General features: G+C 43.3%; 1 long non-coding RNA gene across 1 annotated transcript in view, besides 1 other annotated feature; it reads right to left on the bottom strand.

Moving 5' to 3' along the window:
• The window catches only part of LOC101927040 (uncharacterized), a 102,366-nt gene extending 84,366 nt beyond the window's left edge, over positions 1 to 18,000 (bottom strand). The window contains exons 1-2 of the long non-coding RNA NR_110954.1: positions 17,832 to 18,000; positions 16,287 to 16,419 (exon numbers count right to left, since the gene is read on the bottom strand). This is a non-coding gene — a long non-coding RNA (uncharacterized LOC101927040). The remainder of the gene's footprint in view (positions 1 to 16,286; positions 16,420 to 17,831) is intronic.
• Positions 137 to 431: an enhancer, noted in NCBI's record as "tiled region #4298; HepG2 Activating non-DNase unmatched - State 24:Quies, and K562 Activating DNase matched - State 5:Enh". NCBI's record gives its function as "activates a minimal TATA promoter and a strong SV40 promoter by Sharpr-MPRA in HepG2 and K562 cells {active_cell/tissue: HepG2 | K562}" and the evidence as "EXISTENCE:reporter gene assay evidence [ECO:0000049][PMID:27701403]".
• Positions 18,001 to 18,472: the final 472 nt, after the last annotated feature.

The raw sequence follows: 18,472 nt of genomic DNA on the forward strand, positions 1-18,472 counted from the left end.
CCGTGGCCACAGCAGACAGGACCATGCATTCATCAGAAGCCAAGGAGATTTGATCTATTGGTAGCCTCTCAGTGGGCAGAAATAAAAACTTTGCCTAAAAGACATGAGTTGATTATATTAGACTATAGTATCCTCTCATTTGGAGCATCAGATTGGATACTTGGTATCAGGGGGAAAAGCTGAAATACATAAGAGAGAAGACAGTATTCAGATCTCCCAAGGCAGTCAGGGGAAGCCACGAGTGAGCAGCCAGGATGAGTAAGTCAGAGCCATGCCATAGAGAAGTTACTCTGGTAGAGTGAGATTAGGAAGCGGAAGTGGGAAAAGCAGAGAGGAGCTGAGTCACAACAACAGGTGTGGCTGAGTGAAGAGTAGTTATTAAAACTGCCCAGGCCAGGCTCTCACACCTGTAATCCCAACACTTTGGGAGGCTGAGGCGGGCGGATTACCTGAGGCCAAGAGTTCGAGACCAGCCTGGCCAACATGGGGAAACCCTGTCTCTACTAAAAATACAAAAATTAACCATGTGTGGTGGTGCACGGCTGTAATCCCAGTTACCCAGGAGGCTGAGGCAGGAGAATTAATTGAATCTGGGAGGTTGAGGTTGCAGTGAGCCGATATAGTGTCACTGCACTCCAGCCTGCTAGACACAGCAAGACTCTGTCTCAAAAAAATAAAATAAAATGAAACTGCCTGGGACCCTATACCTCTTTTCCACTTTGACATGGTATTTCAACTTCCCCAGAGACCTGTCAAGAAAACTGATCCTGGTTCCATGTGATTCCTGTTGCCCTTATATGAGCTATTTGAGTGGCATTCTGCTCCTTGCTACCCAGGAAAAGCTAAATACACCACCTCTCCTATCATTTAACAATCTGCATTTCATTCTCTGTTTGTGCCTCCCCTTCTAGACAGAAAGCTCCCTGAGGGCACTTTTTTCTGTTATCATTCTGTATGCCTAGTACCAGGCACAGTGCCTGGATCACAGAGGTGGGGTTTACTTGCTATTTGAGTGAGTAAAAGGATGCATGGTTAGTCAAAAGTCTTACAAGCCCATGTCCATGTTGTGGGTCTCACACAGAAACTTTCCAAAGAGCACAAATTGACTTCTGTTAACTCTTCAGGACCAAATGCTAACAGATAAGGGAAAAACACTTCCTGGTGTTTGTGGCCCCCAAATTACCGGCTAAATACGCAGAAGGTTTAGGAAGCTGATATCTGTGCAGAGATCTAAATCTCCCTGCTCAGCTGTGCACCTCTGCACATAATTAAGAGTTAAAGAAGTGTTGTGTGGGTTTTTATAGAAATCAAAAGTACATGCAATTCTTCTGAAGGCTTGCTGATTACTCTTAGCGCATTGTGTTTTAATTTTGATCTCTGGAAAATATCAGGAACAAGGAAAGAACTTCCCACCCCCACCCCACCAACCCCTGGCTCCATAGGAAAAACAGTATTGAAATAATACAAACATCTTGGATTGACCCTCTTTTAAAAGTAAGAAACTCGCCTCACCCTCCCAACAGGCCCAATGTCTGCACACTTTGTCCGCCAAAGAGTGGGATTTGGCAGCACTCCTTGTAAACTTCAACCACAGGAGGCCTCTGATTGAATTGAAATTGTTTCCTCCGGTCAGATTTTGTTGATGGTACACCCCCTCAGGATGTGAATTCATCATGTTTGCTGTGGGGTGAGACTAGAGTGGTGGTTGGGGCATGTGAGGGTGAATGTGTGTTTGTGTGTGAGCAAGCAACTTGAGCGCCTGTGTGTACACACGTGTACACACATTCATTTATTGCCTAGCGTCACTAATCAGGACAGGGACACAACCCAAAAGAATTCTGGAAGGTTATATTCATTCTTGTTCATCCTTGATTTTTTTTTTTTTTGCCTTATTATTTTACTTTTTTTGAGGCAAATACGTATAGCACATTCTGCTTTAGGAAATTGGATGTTTACGTTTACATTTAGTGGAAATATGGATTTATTTTTTAAATTTTGATTTTAAGTTCAAGGGTACAAGCGCAGGTTTGTTACCTAGGAAAACTTGTGTCATGGGGATTTGATGTACAGATTATTTCATTGCCCAGGTATTAAGCCTAGTATCCATTAGTTATTTTTCCTGATCCTCTCTCTCCTCTTACCCTCCACCCTCTGACAGGCCCCAGTGTGTGTTGTTCCCCTCTATGCGTCCATGTCTTCTCATCATTTACCTCCCATTTATAAGTGAGAACATGCAGTATTTGGTTTTCTGTTCCTGTGTTGGTTTACTATCATCCTCAATATTTTTTTTAAGTGATTAGAATTTAATTAACAAAAGCAAGGCAAGAAAATTGGAAATGGTGAAATGCAAAAGGCAAAACTGGCAGCGGTTTTCCACAAGTCATTATCCTGGCCCCCTTTGACAGCACACACATATTTTAAAACCTTTGAGGGGCCAGAGCTATTAAGAGGGGCCAGAGCCATGTCCTCTGGGTTTATGGAGATAGAAGTGGGGAAGGGGAGCAGATTAGGGTTGTGATGAAATTCCACCATGGCCAGGTGCTGTGTAATCCCACGCTCATGCCTGTAATCTCAATGCTTTGGGAGGCTGAGGTGAGGAAGATCACTTGAGGCCAGGAGTTCAAGACCAGCCTGAGTAACACAGTGAGAGCGCCATCTCTACAAAAAGTTATTTGTTAAAAAATTAGCTGGGTGTGGTGGCACACGCATGTAGTCCTAGCTACAGTGGAGGCTGAGTCAGGAGGATCACTTGAGCCTATAGGAGTCAGTGGCTGCAGTGAGCTATGATTGTGCCATTGCATTCCAGCCTGGGCAACAGAGCGAGATCCTGTCTCTAAAAATGAAAATACCAGACCTGGACCAGTATCTCTGCTTGTTCTTCTTCAAGGGCTACCCTAACCGAAGCCCCATAAGGAGGTAGGAGGTGAAGGTGAGTGGCGGGGGTTGGGGGAAATGTTTCTTCTTTCTGGTCACTAGGTCTAGGACTTAAACTTCTACATTGAAAAATATGCCAGCCTAGGTGAATCCTCATGGCATTCCCAACCCGGACTTCTCACTAGTGTTCCCCAGGGTTAGAGCAGCATGCCAGAAAGTAATGGAAGCCATAGGATAAAATTTGGTATATCTTCCAGTGCATCAGTTTTAGTCAATTGTGCGTAATTTAAAGCATTGTTTTTGTATTAAAACGAACACACATATATTATGAAATATAAGGCATATATGAATTTCTTAAAATAAAACACAGAACTGGCCAAGCACGGTGGCTCATGCCTGTAATCCCAGCACTTTGGGAGGCTGAGGCAGGCAGATAACAAGGTCAAGACATTGAGACCATCCTGGCCAACACGGTGAAACCCCGTCTCTACTAAAAATACAAAAATTAGCCGGGCATGGTGGTGTGCGCCTGTAGACCCAGCTACTCAGGACACTAAGGTAGGAGAATTGCTTGAACCCAGAAGGCAGAGGTTGCAGTGAGCCAAGATTGCACCACTGCACTCCAGCCTGGTGACACAGCAAGACTCCATCTCAAAAAATAAAAGTAAAAAATAAAACACAGAACTATAAAGAAATCTCCTGCCTGCAGGGGAATGCTTTAAGCCACATACACAACAACCCTGGAAGGCACAATCTCTCTCTTCTCTGCCACTGGAAAACTGGTGGAAAGATTTGAAAAGCACTACCACATCCCACCCAGGACCATGGAGCATGCTTTCCTCTTCCTATTTATAGAATTTTGTGGGTATAAAAACATGAGAGAACATCTTAACACCTGCTGTCATTTTACACACGAGAAAACAGAAGCCTGAGCAGTGGAGGCCTTGCTCACCTTGCCAATCCACGTAGATGTGCGTGATCCAGGCTTAGAGGATTTAAGTTTCTGAGAAAACAGTCGCAGAGGTAGAGGGACCACGAATACTCACACTGCACCTCGGACATGCAGAGAAATGTGTTTATTTTTCCTCTGCATTTGATTTGATTTGGCCCCAGTGGCTAGGAAGTGAGAAAACAATAACTAAATCTCCGTCTTAGCTTTAATTCAGTGCAATGCACTTAACCAGTTCGTTAGGTTAGCCTCTCCCTTTTTGCTTCTCCTCCCTCAGTCCTGCCCCGAAGGGTGGCTTGTGTACTGAGCAGCCCCCTGACCTGGTGGAGGCAGGGTGACTGGGCCTCGGGACTGGCCGGCTGTTCTCCAGACCAGCTGCACAGTGGCTGTTCCAAGGTCCGCCGGGGAATCACTGGCTTGAGTGGTTCCTGAGCATTCAGCTGGTGTCCGTTGCTAATATCCTGCAGCTGATAAACTTACAGTCTATTCTTTCTCAGCCAGTCAGGGCGTAGGGACTCTTCCCTGCTGAATCCACCTCCCCTTGGCTTTTGTTGGCCACTGACTCCCCCAGGTTTCTGCCCCATTCTCCACCTGGCTTCCCAGTCTCACACAGTCATTGCTCTAAGACCCCCTCACCCTCCCACAGCAGGCCCCTTGGGACTCACTGACTCCCAAGGGCAGCTCCGGGTGCACCCTGGACCCTCTCTCCATCTAACCACACTGCACCACTGACTGAACTATGCTTAATGGTGGTATTGGGCCCCAGCAAAGTGAATTGTTTTCAAGTCCCAGGTGAGAAGCAGGGAAAGAGACCCCAGACCTTGGTGGTCCCCAACTTTATCTAACTTATCTATCCCTCTCAGACTGAAACATACAGAGGGGAGAAAGGAACACCATCTTCACTCTTCTTCCTATCCCCTTCCTCCCTCTTTCCTTCTCCTCCCCAAATCCACTGGCTCAAAGAGGCAACCTTTCTCTGAATTTAACACTTTGGTCTTTTGGACAGGAGTTTAAACTATGGGGCAATCTTTATAATCTGATGGGACAAGCTGGCTCTCTAGGGACTAATGAAGAGCCAAAAGAATCTACAACAATACCCCTTTCTTCTTGGTTTTAAAGGCTGTTTTTTGTTTGAGATGCACTCTCACTCTGTCGCCCAGGCTGGAGTGCAGTGGCTTGATTTCGGCTCACTTGCCTCCTGGGTTCAAGTGATTCTCATGCCTCAGACTCCCAAGTAGCTGGGATTACAGGTGCCTGCCACCATACCCAGCTAATTTATTTTGTATTTTTAATAGAAACAGGGTTTCACCATGTTAGCCAGTCTGGTCTCGAACTCCTGACCTCAGGTGATCCGCCAGCCTCGGCCTCCCAAAGTGCTGGATTAAAGGCATGAGCCGCTGCGCCCAGCCAAGCTCATTGTTAAGGGCTCACCCTATCTGCCCTTCTCACTTGGCTTCTTAGGGGTGGGAAGCTATCAGGTGGTGGGAGATGCAAAGAAAGGAATTCAAAAGCATTAACTGAATGTTTATAAAAGATATTCCTGCGGCCAGGCGCAGTGGCTCAAGCCTGTAATCCCAGCACTCTGGGAGGCCGAGGTGGGTGGATCACGAGGTCAGGAGATCAAGACCATCCTGGCTAACGTGGTGTAAACCCCGTCTCTACTAAAAATACAAAAACAAAATTAGCCGGGTGTGATGGTGGGCGCCTGTAGTCCCAGCTACTTGGGATGCTGAGGCAGGAGAATGGTGTGAACCCAGGAGGTGGAGCTTGCAGTGAGCCAAAATTGCTCCACTGCACTCCAGCCTGGGCAACAGAGCGAGACTCCATCTCAAAAAAGCAAAAGATACTCCTGCTTCATAGGTATGTTTATTATAGAGTTGAATGACCAAAGTGTAAATGACCTCTGTAAATATATAATCCAAAAACTTTAGCTTCAAAATGCTTCCCAATAATCAAAATTGCCCAGTATTTTCGATAACAACTTTTTCTTGCCTCTCTCTGTGCAGCACCATGTCATCTTAACAGAAGACTGGGGTATTTGGTAACTTCTCCTTCCTCCTTAATGGAAGAACAGTCCTGGAAGTAAGTGACAGCTCTTGATCTCAGAAAGAAAGGGGATGGAGATGTCCCCCAGTATCACCCCATCATTTGAAATTTAGAGAAGGTTGTCCTATAAGTAGCTCGACAGACCTGACCCACCTCAAACAGTGCCCCAGTGGGTGGCAGGACCTCTGATGGAGCGGATGAGTGTCTGAGAACCTCAGAATGTAATAAATGGTCTAATAGGTTTGTTAGGACACTACAATGGCACAGAAGAGCAGCCCCTAGCCCCGCTGTATATCTCCATTTTTTTCAAAATAAGGAGAATAATATTTTGCAGGCAACAAAATCATGGGACAAAGTTGGCAAATGTTCTAAAAACAGAAATTGGATTAGTGAATCACATCACAGGACTACTGTTCCAGGTTAGATACAAAGCACAATAATTTGGTTTTGATTTTTGTCATTGTTGTTTGTTGTTTTGAGACAGGGCCTCTCTCTGTCTCCCGGGCTGGAGTGCAGTGGAAATCATCACAGCTCACTACAACCTCAAACTCCTGAGCTCAAGAGGATTCTCCCACCTCAGCCTCCTGAGCAACTAGGACTACAAGCATGCACAACTACACTCAGCTAATTTTTAAATTTTTAGTAGGGATGAAGTCTCACTGTGTTGCTCAGGCTAGTCTTGAACTCCTGGCCTCAAGTGACAGTCATACTTTGGCCTCCCAAAGTGCGACTGGTGGGATTACAGGTGTGGGCCACCACCCCCGGCCAAAGCAGAATAATTTGATAGGGACTTTTTTTTTATATGCTTTAAGTTCTAGGGTACATGTGCACAACGTGCAGGTTTGTTACATATGTATACATGTGCAGTGTTGGTGTGCTGCACCCATTAACTCGTCATTTACATTAGGTATATCTCCTAATGCTATCCCTCCCCTCTCTCCCCACCCCATGACAGGCCCCAGTGTGTGATGTTCCCCTTCCTGTGTCCAAGTGTTCTCATTGTTCAATTCCCACCTATGAGTGAGAATATGCGGTGTTTGGTTTTTTGTCCTTGCAATAATTTGCTGAGAATGATGGTTTCCAGCTTCATCCATGTCCCCACAAAGGGCATGAACTCATCCTTTTTTATGGCTGCATAGTATTCCATGGTGTATATGTGCCACATTTTCTTAATCCAGTCTATTATTGTTGGACATTTGGGTTGGTTCCAAGTCTTTGCTACTGTGAATAGTGCCACAATAAACATACATGTGCATGTGTCTTTATAGCAGCATGATTTATAATCCTTTAGGTATATACCCAGTAATGGGATGGCTGGGTCAAACGGTATTTCTAGTTCTAGATCCCTGAGGAATCGCCACACTGACTTCCACAATGGTTAAACTAGTTTACAGTCCCACCAACAGTGTAAAAGTGTTCCTATTTCTCCACATCCTCTCCAGCACCTGTTGTTTCCTGACTTTTTAATGATTGCCATTCTAACTGGTGTGAGATGGTATCTCATTGTGGTTTTGATTTGCATTTCTCTGATGGCCAGTGATGATGAGCATTTTTTCATGTGTCTTTTGGCTGCATAAATGTCTTCTTTTGAGAAGTGTCTATTCATACCCTTCGTCCACTTTTCGATGGGGTTGTTTGTTTTTTTTCTTGTAAATTTGTTGGAGTTCATTGTAGATTCTAGATATTAGCCCTTTGTCAGATGAGTAGATTGCAAAAATTTTCTCCCATTCTGTAGGTTGCCTGTTCACTCTGATGGTAGTTTCTTTTGCTGTGCAGAAGCTCTTTAGCTTAATTAGATCCCATTTGTCAATTTTGGCTTTTGTTGCCATTGCTTTTGGTGTTTTAGACATGAAGTCCTTGTCCATGCCTATGTCCTGAATGGTATTGCTTAGGTTTTCTTCTAGGGTTTTTATGGTTTTAGGTCTAACATTTAAGTCTTTAATCCATCTTGAATTAATTTTTGTATAAGGTGTAAGGAAGGGATCCAGTTTCAGCTTTCTACATATGGCTAGCCAGTTTTCCCAGCACCATCTGTTAAATAGGGAATCATTTCCCCATTTCTTGCTTTTGTCAGGTTTGTCAAGGATCAGATAGTTGTAGATGTGTGGCATTATTTCTGAGGGCTCTGTTCTGTTCCATTGGTCTATATCTCTGTTTTGATACCAGCACCATGCTGTTTTGGTTACTGTAGCCTTGTAGTATAGTTTGAAGTCAGGTAGCGTGATGCCTCCAGCTTTGTTCTTTTGGCTTAGGATTGACTTGGCAATGTGGGCTCTTTTTTGGTTCCATATGAACTTGAAAGTAGTTTTTTCCAATTTTGTGAAGAAAGTCATGGTAGCTTGATGGGGATGGCATTGAATCTATAAATTACCTTGGGCAGTATGGCCATTTTCACCATATTGATTATTCCTATCCATGAGCATGGAATGTTCTTCCATTTGTTTGTATCCTCTTTTATTTCGTTGAGCAGTGGTTTGTAGCTCTCCTTGAAGAGGTCCTTCACGTCCCTTGTAAGTTGGATTCCTAGGTATTTTATTCTCTTTGAAGCAATTGTGAATGGGAGTTCCCTCATGATTTGGCTCTCTGTTTGTCTGTTATTGGTGTATAAGAATGCTTGTGATTTTTGCACATTGATTTTGTATCCTGAGACTTTGCTGAAGTTGCTTATCAGCTTAAGGAGATTTGGGGCTGAGACAACGGGGTTTTCTAGATATACAATCATGTCTTCTGCAAACAAGGACAATTTGACTTCCTCTTTTCCTAATTGAGTACCCTTTATTTCTTTCTCCTGCCTGATTGCCCTGGCCAGAACTTCCAACACTATGTTGAACAGGAGTGGTGAGAGAGGGCATCTGATAGGGACTTTTTTAAAGCAAGGACACTAATGACATCATTTTACATGTCAGTCACCAGGGATTCAAGATTCCATAGAGTTTAACCAGGACATTGCACCACAGAACTTTGGTCACAAACCCCTCATTCCGGAATTTAGAATCATTTAACATTGTCACAGGTGTGGTTTGAAAGAAGTCACCTATAAGCCCTCCCCTCCTGTGCACAGAACAGGCGGGAGCATTCTTGATTCTTAATTCCACCTCCTATGCCCCCCAACCCCCAGCCTTCTTCCAGGGCAAAGAGCGGGGAATCACTTTTTGCAAGGGAGAGCTAGGGGAACTCTGCATGATCATTTTTCTTTGATTACAGGAGGTATGGCTAGTGAATCTCGAACTTGCATTTCTCATCCCAGTTGTTAGGTTTCCAAGAGACCTTTTAGGCCTAGCATCTGAAACTTGTCACTCAAGGGATATGAACCTGTTTTATTGCAACAGCCCACTTTTTTTTTCTTAACATTCCAGACCCATGCTTATTTATCTACTTTAATTTTGAACTGAGTGATTGTAATCAAAGACTGTTCCAATTATACAGTTAAACTTTCTCTTAGATCCATAGACATTTTATGTGCAAAACAGAAAGAAAAAAAATTCAACCTGGTGTTAGTTTCCTAAAAGAAAACAACATATGATAAAAGGGAAATCAATTAAGAGGTTATTAAGAAAAGATTTTCTTGTATAAACGTTTTAATTTGTTATAATGTGGCATTAGTTTTTATATCATTCTTTCAGTGTAGTTTTCTTGTCTTATTTTAATGTCTATTTTATGGAAAGTTAAACAGTTTAATGCATCTTTCAAAGACGAAAGTTTCTCTGAAATGTTTATATTATTGTAAATGGATTTTGGTACTTTAATATGAACTCTCTGCTCTTGAATAGTCAGTGGTATTATTAAAACACTGTGGGGTTTTAGTTTGCCTACATTCAAGTGGTTATTCTTGCTCAAAATTTCAGATAAAGACATAAACGATAGTGGAAAATTGAAAGCAAAACATCTTCATGGAGATTTTATTATTATTGCTAAGCAGAAAACATGAAGGGGCAAGATTTTTTTTTTTTTTTTTTTTTTGGTCAAGGTTTTGCTCTGTCACTCAGGCTGGAGTGCATTGACTGCAGCCTCAATTTCCTGCTTAAGGGAGGGCTCAAGTGATCCTCCCACCTCAGCCTCCTGAGTAGCTGGGACTACAGGTGTGCATCACCATGTCCAGCTCCAGCTAATTTTTGTATTTTTTGTAGAGATGGGGTTTCACCTTGTTGCCCAGGCTGATTTTGAACTCCTGAGCTCAAGCGTAATCCCACCTCAGCCTCCCAAAGTGCTGGAATTACAGGCATGAGCCACCATGACTGGCCGGGGATTTTTTAAGTGCAATCCTACATGAATCCTCTGACTAAAGTTCAAAATGTCTCAAAACTTTGAGTTTAGGATTGTTTAAGTGCAATTCTAAATGAATCCTCTGACTAAAATTCAAAATATCTCAAAACTTTGGAAGTGACCATAAAACTCAGGTGGCCCCAGCACAGGTTCCATCATGAATTACATGGGGTGAATACAACTGAACCAAAATGACACAAAGCATGACTCTCATCATGACAAAAAAATTTAAATAGGGGCCGGGCGCAGTGGCTCACGCCTGTAATCCCAGCACTTTGGGAGGCCGAGGCAGGTGGATCACAAGGTCAAGAGATCGAGACCATCCTGGACAACATGGTGAAACCCCGTCTCTATTAAAAATACAAAAATTAGCTGGGCATGGTGGCGGGTGCCTGCAGTCCCAGCTACTCGGGAGGCTGAGTGAGGCAGGAGAATCACTTGAACCTTGGAGGTGGAGGTTGCAGTGAGCCGAGATTGCGCCACTGCACTCCAGCCTGGCCACAGAGCAAGACTCCATCTCAAAAAAAAAAAAAATTAAATAGAAAAATTGCACAAATAATTTATTTCCAAATATTGCTGTTAGACTGTAATAACCCCATCCCATCTTCCTTTTCTTTTTCCTCTTGGACTGAAACCCATGAGCAAATGGGAACTGGGTTTTTCCGTGTGTGTACTTTCATGTGGGCAGCAAGATGTTGGGATAAAGCAGTAGTCGGTGCAAGCACAAAACTCAAAGAGAACCAGGACGAGCAGAGGTAGCAGAGGCCCCTCTCTGCCAAATCTTGTCAATAATGTATGGGCTGTCAGCGGTTTATCACTAGCAAGCCCCTCTCTCTCCTTGGGTAGGCTCCTTTCCCAGTGGACAGTCAGGCCAGCTGTCTAGGCAGCAGGAATAGCCCTCCTTTCCCAAGCCCAGACCTGTGGGAAAATCTTCACTGGCCAGTAATTGATTCCACCCTGCCAGCTCCATTACTCTAGGCTGCAGTCACACTGGCAGCAAGCTGGGGAAGGGAGCCTGCTGCGGGCTGAGGGGTGGGAGCAAAGGCCCTCGAAGGCCGGGGGGCAGGGCGGGGGGGGGGGGCTGCAATTAACACTAATCTGAAAATTGGCCTCTGACAGCAAAGCCCAGCACCTGACAGCTAATTACTTGTGTCAGACTGATGTGCACTTCATATGGAAAGGTTATTTATCAGAGACCAGGGTTTTCTCTCCCCTCCCCTCTTTTATTTCTGTTTGTCTTGCTGAAAACAGTGGGGAATTGTTCCTGGTTGCTTAGATCCTGGAAACCCTGAAAGTTCTCATACTTTACTTAACTGAAAGGCTCCTAAAGAACTTATCTAAGACCTGATGCACGAGGGCTGTGCTGCTCACCTGTGCTGGAGACCAGAGAAAAATGTAGGTATCCAAGACAGTGGGCCTCATTTCCTTTTGCAAATGGAACCAAAGTTATGGAGACACATGCAATTCAAATAATCAGTGTAGAAACAATAAAAAATTCCAAAGGGGTCAGACCAATTTCATTTATCTAATTTTCAAAAAGCCAATCCATAGTGGGGAAGATAAATAAATGGCTTAGTTTGCAAGTGAAATTGAAAAGCCTGTTGTCTTTAATCATTTTAATATATTTTCTCTAATCCTCGTATAGCTATATTGTCTATGTGACACACACAGTTATATTGTCTTTATGTTGTTGATTTCATCTGTCTTGCCAAAAATTAAAGTGGTTATCAATGAGGGAGAGGAATTTATACGAGACTTTCTCCTTCTACCTTATATTTTCAGTTGACAACATTTTTTGAGCACCAACTATTTTATGCCAGGCAGTCTTCCGGGTCCTGAGCATACGAAATAAACCTATTTCTTGCTCTTTGGAGACTTAAGGTTTGGAAAGGAACACAGATAAGTAAGGAAATTACAATGTAGCATGATACACTTTAGATAAAGGGTGAAATACACAATTTGGAAGCACCTAAAACTGGACCTAACCTAAATTTGTGTGGTACAGAGAGGGGCCCCTGGGCTGAGCTCTGAAGAATAAACAGGAGTTAGGCAGGCAGAGGAGGGTGTGTGTGTCAATGGAGGATAAAGATAAAGGAAATGTCATGTACACAAAACCTGACATGAGAGAGAATTCAGCAGGGTTGAAGCCTAGAGCAGACATGACCCAGATGAGGCTGATAATTAAAGCACATGGTTAATTTGTCCCAAGGTTTTCCAAGCAGAAATTACAAGGCTTGTAGTTTAATGAACTTTTCACTATTTGTTCTTACTATCCTTTCATTCAAACTGACCCCCAGCTCAGGTACCTAAGTATTGGACAAGACTATGCCAGAGAAAACCCAGTGCCATTGAGAAGCAACAAGGTTTATTGGCTATTAGAGCAGAAATCAGAAGACCTGGGAGATTGGACAGCTACAGGTTTGTTTGGTTTTGTTGTTGTTGTTGTTTTGTCCATCAAGCACCCATCTTTCCAACGGGACTCTCTCCCCTACCCCACGTGAGTCTGGGTTTTTGTAAGAATTGATTTATTTAGGCCAGGCGCAGTGTCTCATGCCTGTAATCCCAGCACTTTGGGAGGCTGAGGCGGGCAGAGCACAAGTTCAGGAGATCGAGACCATGCTGGCTAACAGGGTGAAACCCCGTCACTACTAAAAATACAAAAAAATTAGTTGGGCATGGTGGCGGGTGCCTGTAGTCCAGCTACTCGGGAGGCTGAGGCAGGAGAACGGTGTGAACCCGGGAGGCGGAGCTTGCAGTGAGCCGAGATTGCACCACTGCACTCCAGCCTGGGTGACAGAGTGAGACTCCATCTCAAAAAAAAAAAAAAAGAAAAGGAAAAACAAAAAGAATTGATTTATTTACCCAACAAAGGTTTTGAGTGTGTCCTCTGTGCCGGGTAATAGGAGGCACCAAGAATACCGAAATGAACTAGGCAGGCATGGGCCCTGTCCTCAAAGAGCTACTACATACTAAGGAGAAGACAAACATAAAACAGATAGTTACATAACAACTACATTGGTGACACTTTTGGTAAGTGCTAAAAAAGTAAGAAATACATTATCGAAAATAATGATCTGCATGAAACTGTTATGAAAACTCTGTGTAATAACTAAAAAGAAAAGATATTGTCATTAAGATAACCATAATATAAAGTAATGAGAAAAAGACAGAGGAAAGAAAGGCACATCAGTCAAGTTCTTGCCATGTGTCTGGTACTGGGATAATGCCCATGTGGTCTGTGTCACTGGTTTCTCATAACAAACTTATGAGGGTGTTATTTCCCTGACTTTGCAAAGCAAGTTACTGAGATTCTAAAGAGCTAAATAACTTGCTCAAGGCCGGCCAGCTAGCAAAGGATGAAATGGCAAGGCTGGGCCAAGCTTGGCAGCTTCCCTCCATCCCTCCCAACTGAGAATGCAACCCCCTCACACCCACAGTGGACTTCATTCTTTAGGACTGGGGAACTAGTTCACTCCCAGGCAAGGGACCATATCTAGCACCAGAGCAAAACTGACTGGTATGTTCTGTGGCTCCTGCAGGCTGCCTTTACCAATTTAGTAAAATTTATCAACTTACATCATCTTGGGACAAATATTTATCCTTTCCTGGGTACCATTTTTCATAGGACCCAGTAGACATTAGGACACAAATGTAGTTTCTATCCCAGCCTTTATACTGCATCTACCACCCAGGAAGTCAGGCCCTTTAAGAAGTGTGGTATTAAATCTAGAACAACTCATCAAACTGACAGTTTTGAAAGATAGAGAAGTTGCTAACAAAGCAGAAGGGCAGGCTATTTGGTGTTTCTGAAAACAGGAAATCAGAGGAATAGACCAAAAAGAAAAACGAGTTTGCAAACAGGTGTCCTATCATACAAGTGTTGCAGGCATACTGCACACTTGTTGGTTTCAGATGGGCCCTGAATGGCAGAATTATTACTGTACAGTCAGTATGCCTGATTATTATTTAGGAAGCATTATGGTTTCAATAGTCATGACCAAGTCTCTGGGTACCATCAGGAAATAACTCTACTTGAAATAAGTGATGAGCAGAGAGAAGCAGTAGTCTAGCTCAGACCAAACACCTGATGAAAGAAAGCCACCTCACACTCTGTGTGATGCTCAACGGTCCCCAGTACTGAAGTTTTCTCATGGCGCCAAGCCCATAGCTCCAACTCGAGTGACCCCTGAGCTGGTGCTCTTGTCAAGACCATGTCAGCAGCAGCTTCTGGAAACCGCAGGCACTGTGATCTCTGTCCATAACAGATCATTATGTTTGGGCTTTCTAATCACCCACTTGGAGGACAGAAAGAGAACACTAACCAGAGTGACCAGGCTGAGGCCTGCACTTGGCCTTCTGCTCCCGCTTGGAGGCCGCCTCCCCACAAAGGGTTTTTTTAGGAACTTCAATGGAAACAGATAGTCTCTTGGCCCCAAGTGAGGTCTCCATTCCATAGCTCCTGCTGTCTGTTTAGCATGAAACCCAAGCATGTGACACATTCACATCCTCTTGTGTTTTCTAAATGCTTCTGTAGTCATCATTGAAAATGCTTAAACCTTATCAAAGTCCTATTTTTCCTTCATCTGTCTGTCATTAAATATATTTTTATTTTTAGCTAAGTAAAAGAAAACAAAAGACCTCTAGTGCCAAGAATGAACATGATTTTTTAAGCTTTGACTTGGTTTTTGAGGTGATTTCCTATCAATTTTTTTATAAAGGAAAAAATGGTATGATTTTTGATGAAAGGACAGGCTATACCATCTGTTTTATAAACAAAGGATTCCTGTTTTGGTCTTCTCAGAAGTGTTTTTTTTTTTCATAATAAACAGTGCCTAACACCAGCTTCCTTCTAAGCATGTAGTTTCCAGCAAGCCAGCCCATGGAATGGCCAAGAGCATGGAATGCCAATATGCCCACCTGGCTCCCACCACCAATTTCCATTCCCCTCTGCTTACCACATATCACAAAACCATATGTTTGCCCAGGACCCCAAAATATTTCTGCATGAGGGGTTCCCCATACAGCCCTCTGGATTGCTGGAAATCGGCCATCGCTCTCAAAGCTTCCGAAGTCCCTGGCCACCATCAGAGTGCACCTCTGAGCCGAGTGACACCTGCTCTCTGCCTGTCTGGATGGGTAGAAACCTGCTGTGAGATCATTGGCATGGTGGAAGACCCCCAGAAAACTCCCTTCACCAAATGCTAGGCAGGTGGGCACCATGACCACAGCTCCAGGGGCCCACTTGGAGCACTACATTCAAAATCATTGTCATCCAAAAAAAAACAAAAAGAGTATTTTGGCAGCCCGAAACATAAACTCTCATCAAGCTTAATAGAGAATTATTATAAAGACAGGTTTTATTTCAATTCTCATTTGGCCATATTCTGATCTCTTTGGGGCCTATTTGGCACCCATTGACAACATGAAAATTGTTTCACCTGGAATTGCCTTTCTTAAGCGAAATTCATCGCACCAAGAAGCTAATTTACAGATCAACATTTTCTTAAGCATGAAGATGGTTTTAAAACAGTAACTATCGCTTTGGCTTATATGGTACTTATTCCAACAAAGAGAAATGCACATCTTTCATAATCATTATCTGGCACTAACTGGTATGCAAATTCCCCTCCCACCCCTGGAGTACACGGAGTTGCATGCTGCACAGCTGTGAGTCATCAGACATTAATGTAGACTTAATTTGAACTGGTGCTGGAGGTAGTGGGCACAACTCAAATTAGACATGTGGTGGGCGTTTAACCACAATATTACCAATTCCCATTCTGACATCTGACAGCCCTTAATAATTAACTGCATGTAAATGGTCAAGCCTTCCCTCCCTGTTGGACCAGTCTCCAGCTATACCAGTCTCTGCATTGTAATTGCTAGTTGGGGCTGTCAATTGCACTTGAGACAAATCATAGGCAAGAGATCAGACAGCTTCAGGAGCCCTGCGTTCTCTGATCTATCTGCCTTTTAATTGCACTGGAAAGCCTTCCCAGCAGCTCCCATATGCTGCTTCTTTAGAAAGATATAATATTCTCTCTGGATAAGAGGAAAATTTGTTGTGCTTTGAGGCTTAATTGGAGGTTTTTGTGATGGGACTTGCTGGGTTCTCTAGAACACACCAGGCAGGCATGTTGCCCCAGACTCTCACCTTACTTCTCCGCCTCTGAATTCTCATCTTTATCTAACTTCTCTTCCTTCTCCTTCGAAACTATCTTATTCAGATTTGAGCCCGAGTCACAGGGCTTCTTTTAAGTCTTCCATTGAACAATGATTGGAGTGCTCTGAAAATCAAAGGAAAATATCACATGGCAGAGATGATCAAACCCAGAACTATAAGCCCATTATCTCTTGAAAAAATGATACCACATTCAAACTTGGAAGCCCGTGAGCAAAACGTTGTACTGTTTCTGCTCAGCCAAGCTCAGGTCCTAAAGCTGGGTTTGTCTTTCTTGGACAACACAAAGATTCAATTAATTATGCAGGAATGTATGATTGTTCACAAAAAGATCATTATACCTATTAGTAAAGGAAACCTCGACTGGTGATGGGTGCAGCCCACGTACTGTAGCCCGTATTCCACATAGGAACTAACAACACAATTACACTTACAATCGACATTTATGTAATGTATATAGAAACAGAAGTGTCTTTTACTTTTGTATTATGGTTTAAAAACAAGCATTTACTAAACAAACAAATAACATAAAACTGATTATAGAATTTATAAAACAAGTAAAAACATGAAGTTTTCAGTGTTGTGAAGTTATTTGATATGCCATTTAAGAATAGTTGAAATGGCAATTATGAAGTTTGTTCTCTTTTTAGTAAAACAGATCCTCTAAAAACTCGTTCTAAATAGTATTTTATTACTCTAGTTGGATGCTCTTCAAAACATTAAATTTGAACTTGTTTTGTAAGAATCTAAAATTCAGGCTGGATATGTCAACTTAGGCTGCAGCAGAAGGTTTTACGGTGGAGCAGGAGGATATCTCACTCCAGCTGCTAGGAAACAGAGAAACAAGCCTGATATTATGTGTTAAATAGTAAGTAAGTAAACAATTAACGTGGCTGTCAGGCTCTGTCTGTGTTCTTAATCCTGTATTCACCCCACAGGCTGAGAAGGCACACTCAGAGAATCAGCCCAGCTACAACCTAATGGAATAAAAATGAGCTAAGAGGAAACAGGAGCAAGAAACAAATGCATTAAAGAGAGAGAGAAAAAAGAGAGCAATATTCTCTAAAAATCATCATGTATATTTGTACACAAAATACACAAAGCAAATAGATGTGAGGGCCCTTGGAATTTAATATATGGCTGTGTCCTGGTCATTTCTCTGTCACAGAAAAAAAATAAGCCCTTTCAAAGCCCTGGTCTGAAGGAAGAGCTAACATCAAACAACCTCAGAATAACCAGGAGATTAAAGCCTGACGCTATTCAACTTCCTGCCTTGTAACTAACTAATCTCCTTAGAGATGGAAGAAGACGAGGAGCCGCCATTGTATCAGAAAAGCTTTCCGGATCAGAGGCAGCAGCAGCGTGGCGTATTAAAAGGAGCACAGGACCAGGAGTAAGAGGACTTGCACTGCTGCCCCTCCTAGGTCAGCCCCCCAGAATCCTGTGCAGCCCACACGTCCCCTCTCTAGAGGTTAACTCGATGGCCATCCCCCCACACGGCTCCCCTGCTCAGCACACCTGGGAGTAGCCTTTGACACAGTCAGCGCGGAGGAAAGGCTTTCTGGCAGAGGAAGAACTCGGCACCATTTCAAAGGCTCCTTGCAGCCGCCTTCTACCGACCACTCATGAGGCCAAGGGCACCTCTAACATTTGCGTGACTCTCGACTGTTCCCTAGACTCCATCTTTAACCGCTAGTTTCTAAGCAATCCCCGGTCCTGCCAGCTCCCGGGTCTGGCTCTCCTTTTGTTCCATTCCCAGTCTAGCCTTGGCAGTTCCTGGTCCTGGCCTCAGATGTCCGCCATAATTCAGGGGCCTGGCATGGCAACAGTACTTTAACTAGAAACCTAGAAGTATTTTGGAAAATGACTATGAGCAAATATGAGAGGGTAAAGCCACTTCCACAAACCAGTAATGCTGACCCAACTTCCACAAACTAGTAATGCTGACCAACAGACACAGCTTTCTGTTATTTGGTGAAACTTAGGAGAAATTTTGCAGAAAGTTTTAATACCGCTCCTGCCCAGGCCCCCTCCAGAAAAAGTCAGATCTGTTTATCAGTCAGTCTTACATTCATAACCAGCTTATGAAACTGGGGATATTATTAATATTTAAACTAAAAAAGGTAGTATCTGCAAATACTCACCTTGCAGTACCCTCA

Source organism: Homo sapiens, chromosome 8 (assembly GCF_000001405.40).
Source record: "Homo sapiens chromosome 8, GRCh38.p14 Primary Assembly".
In the NCBI taxonomy this organism is placed as follows: domain Eukaryota; kingdom Metazoa; phylum Chordata; class Mammalia; order Primates; family Hominidae; genus Homo; species Homo sapiens.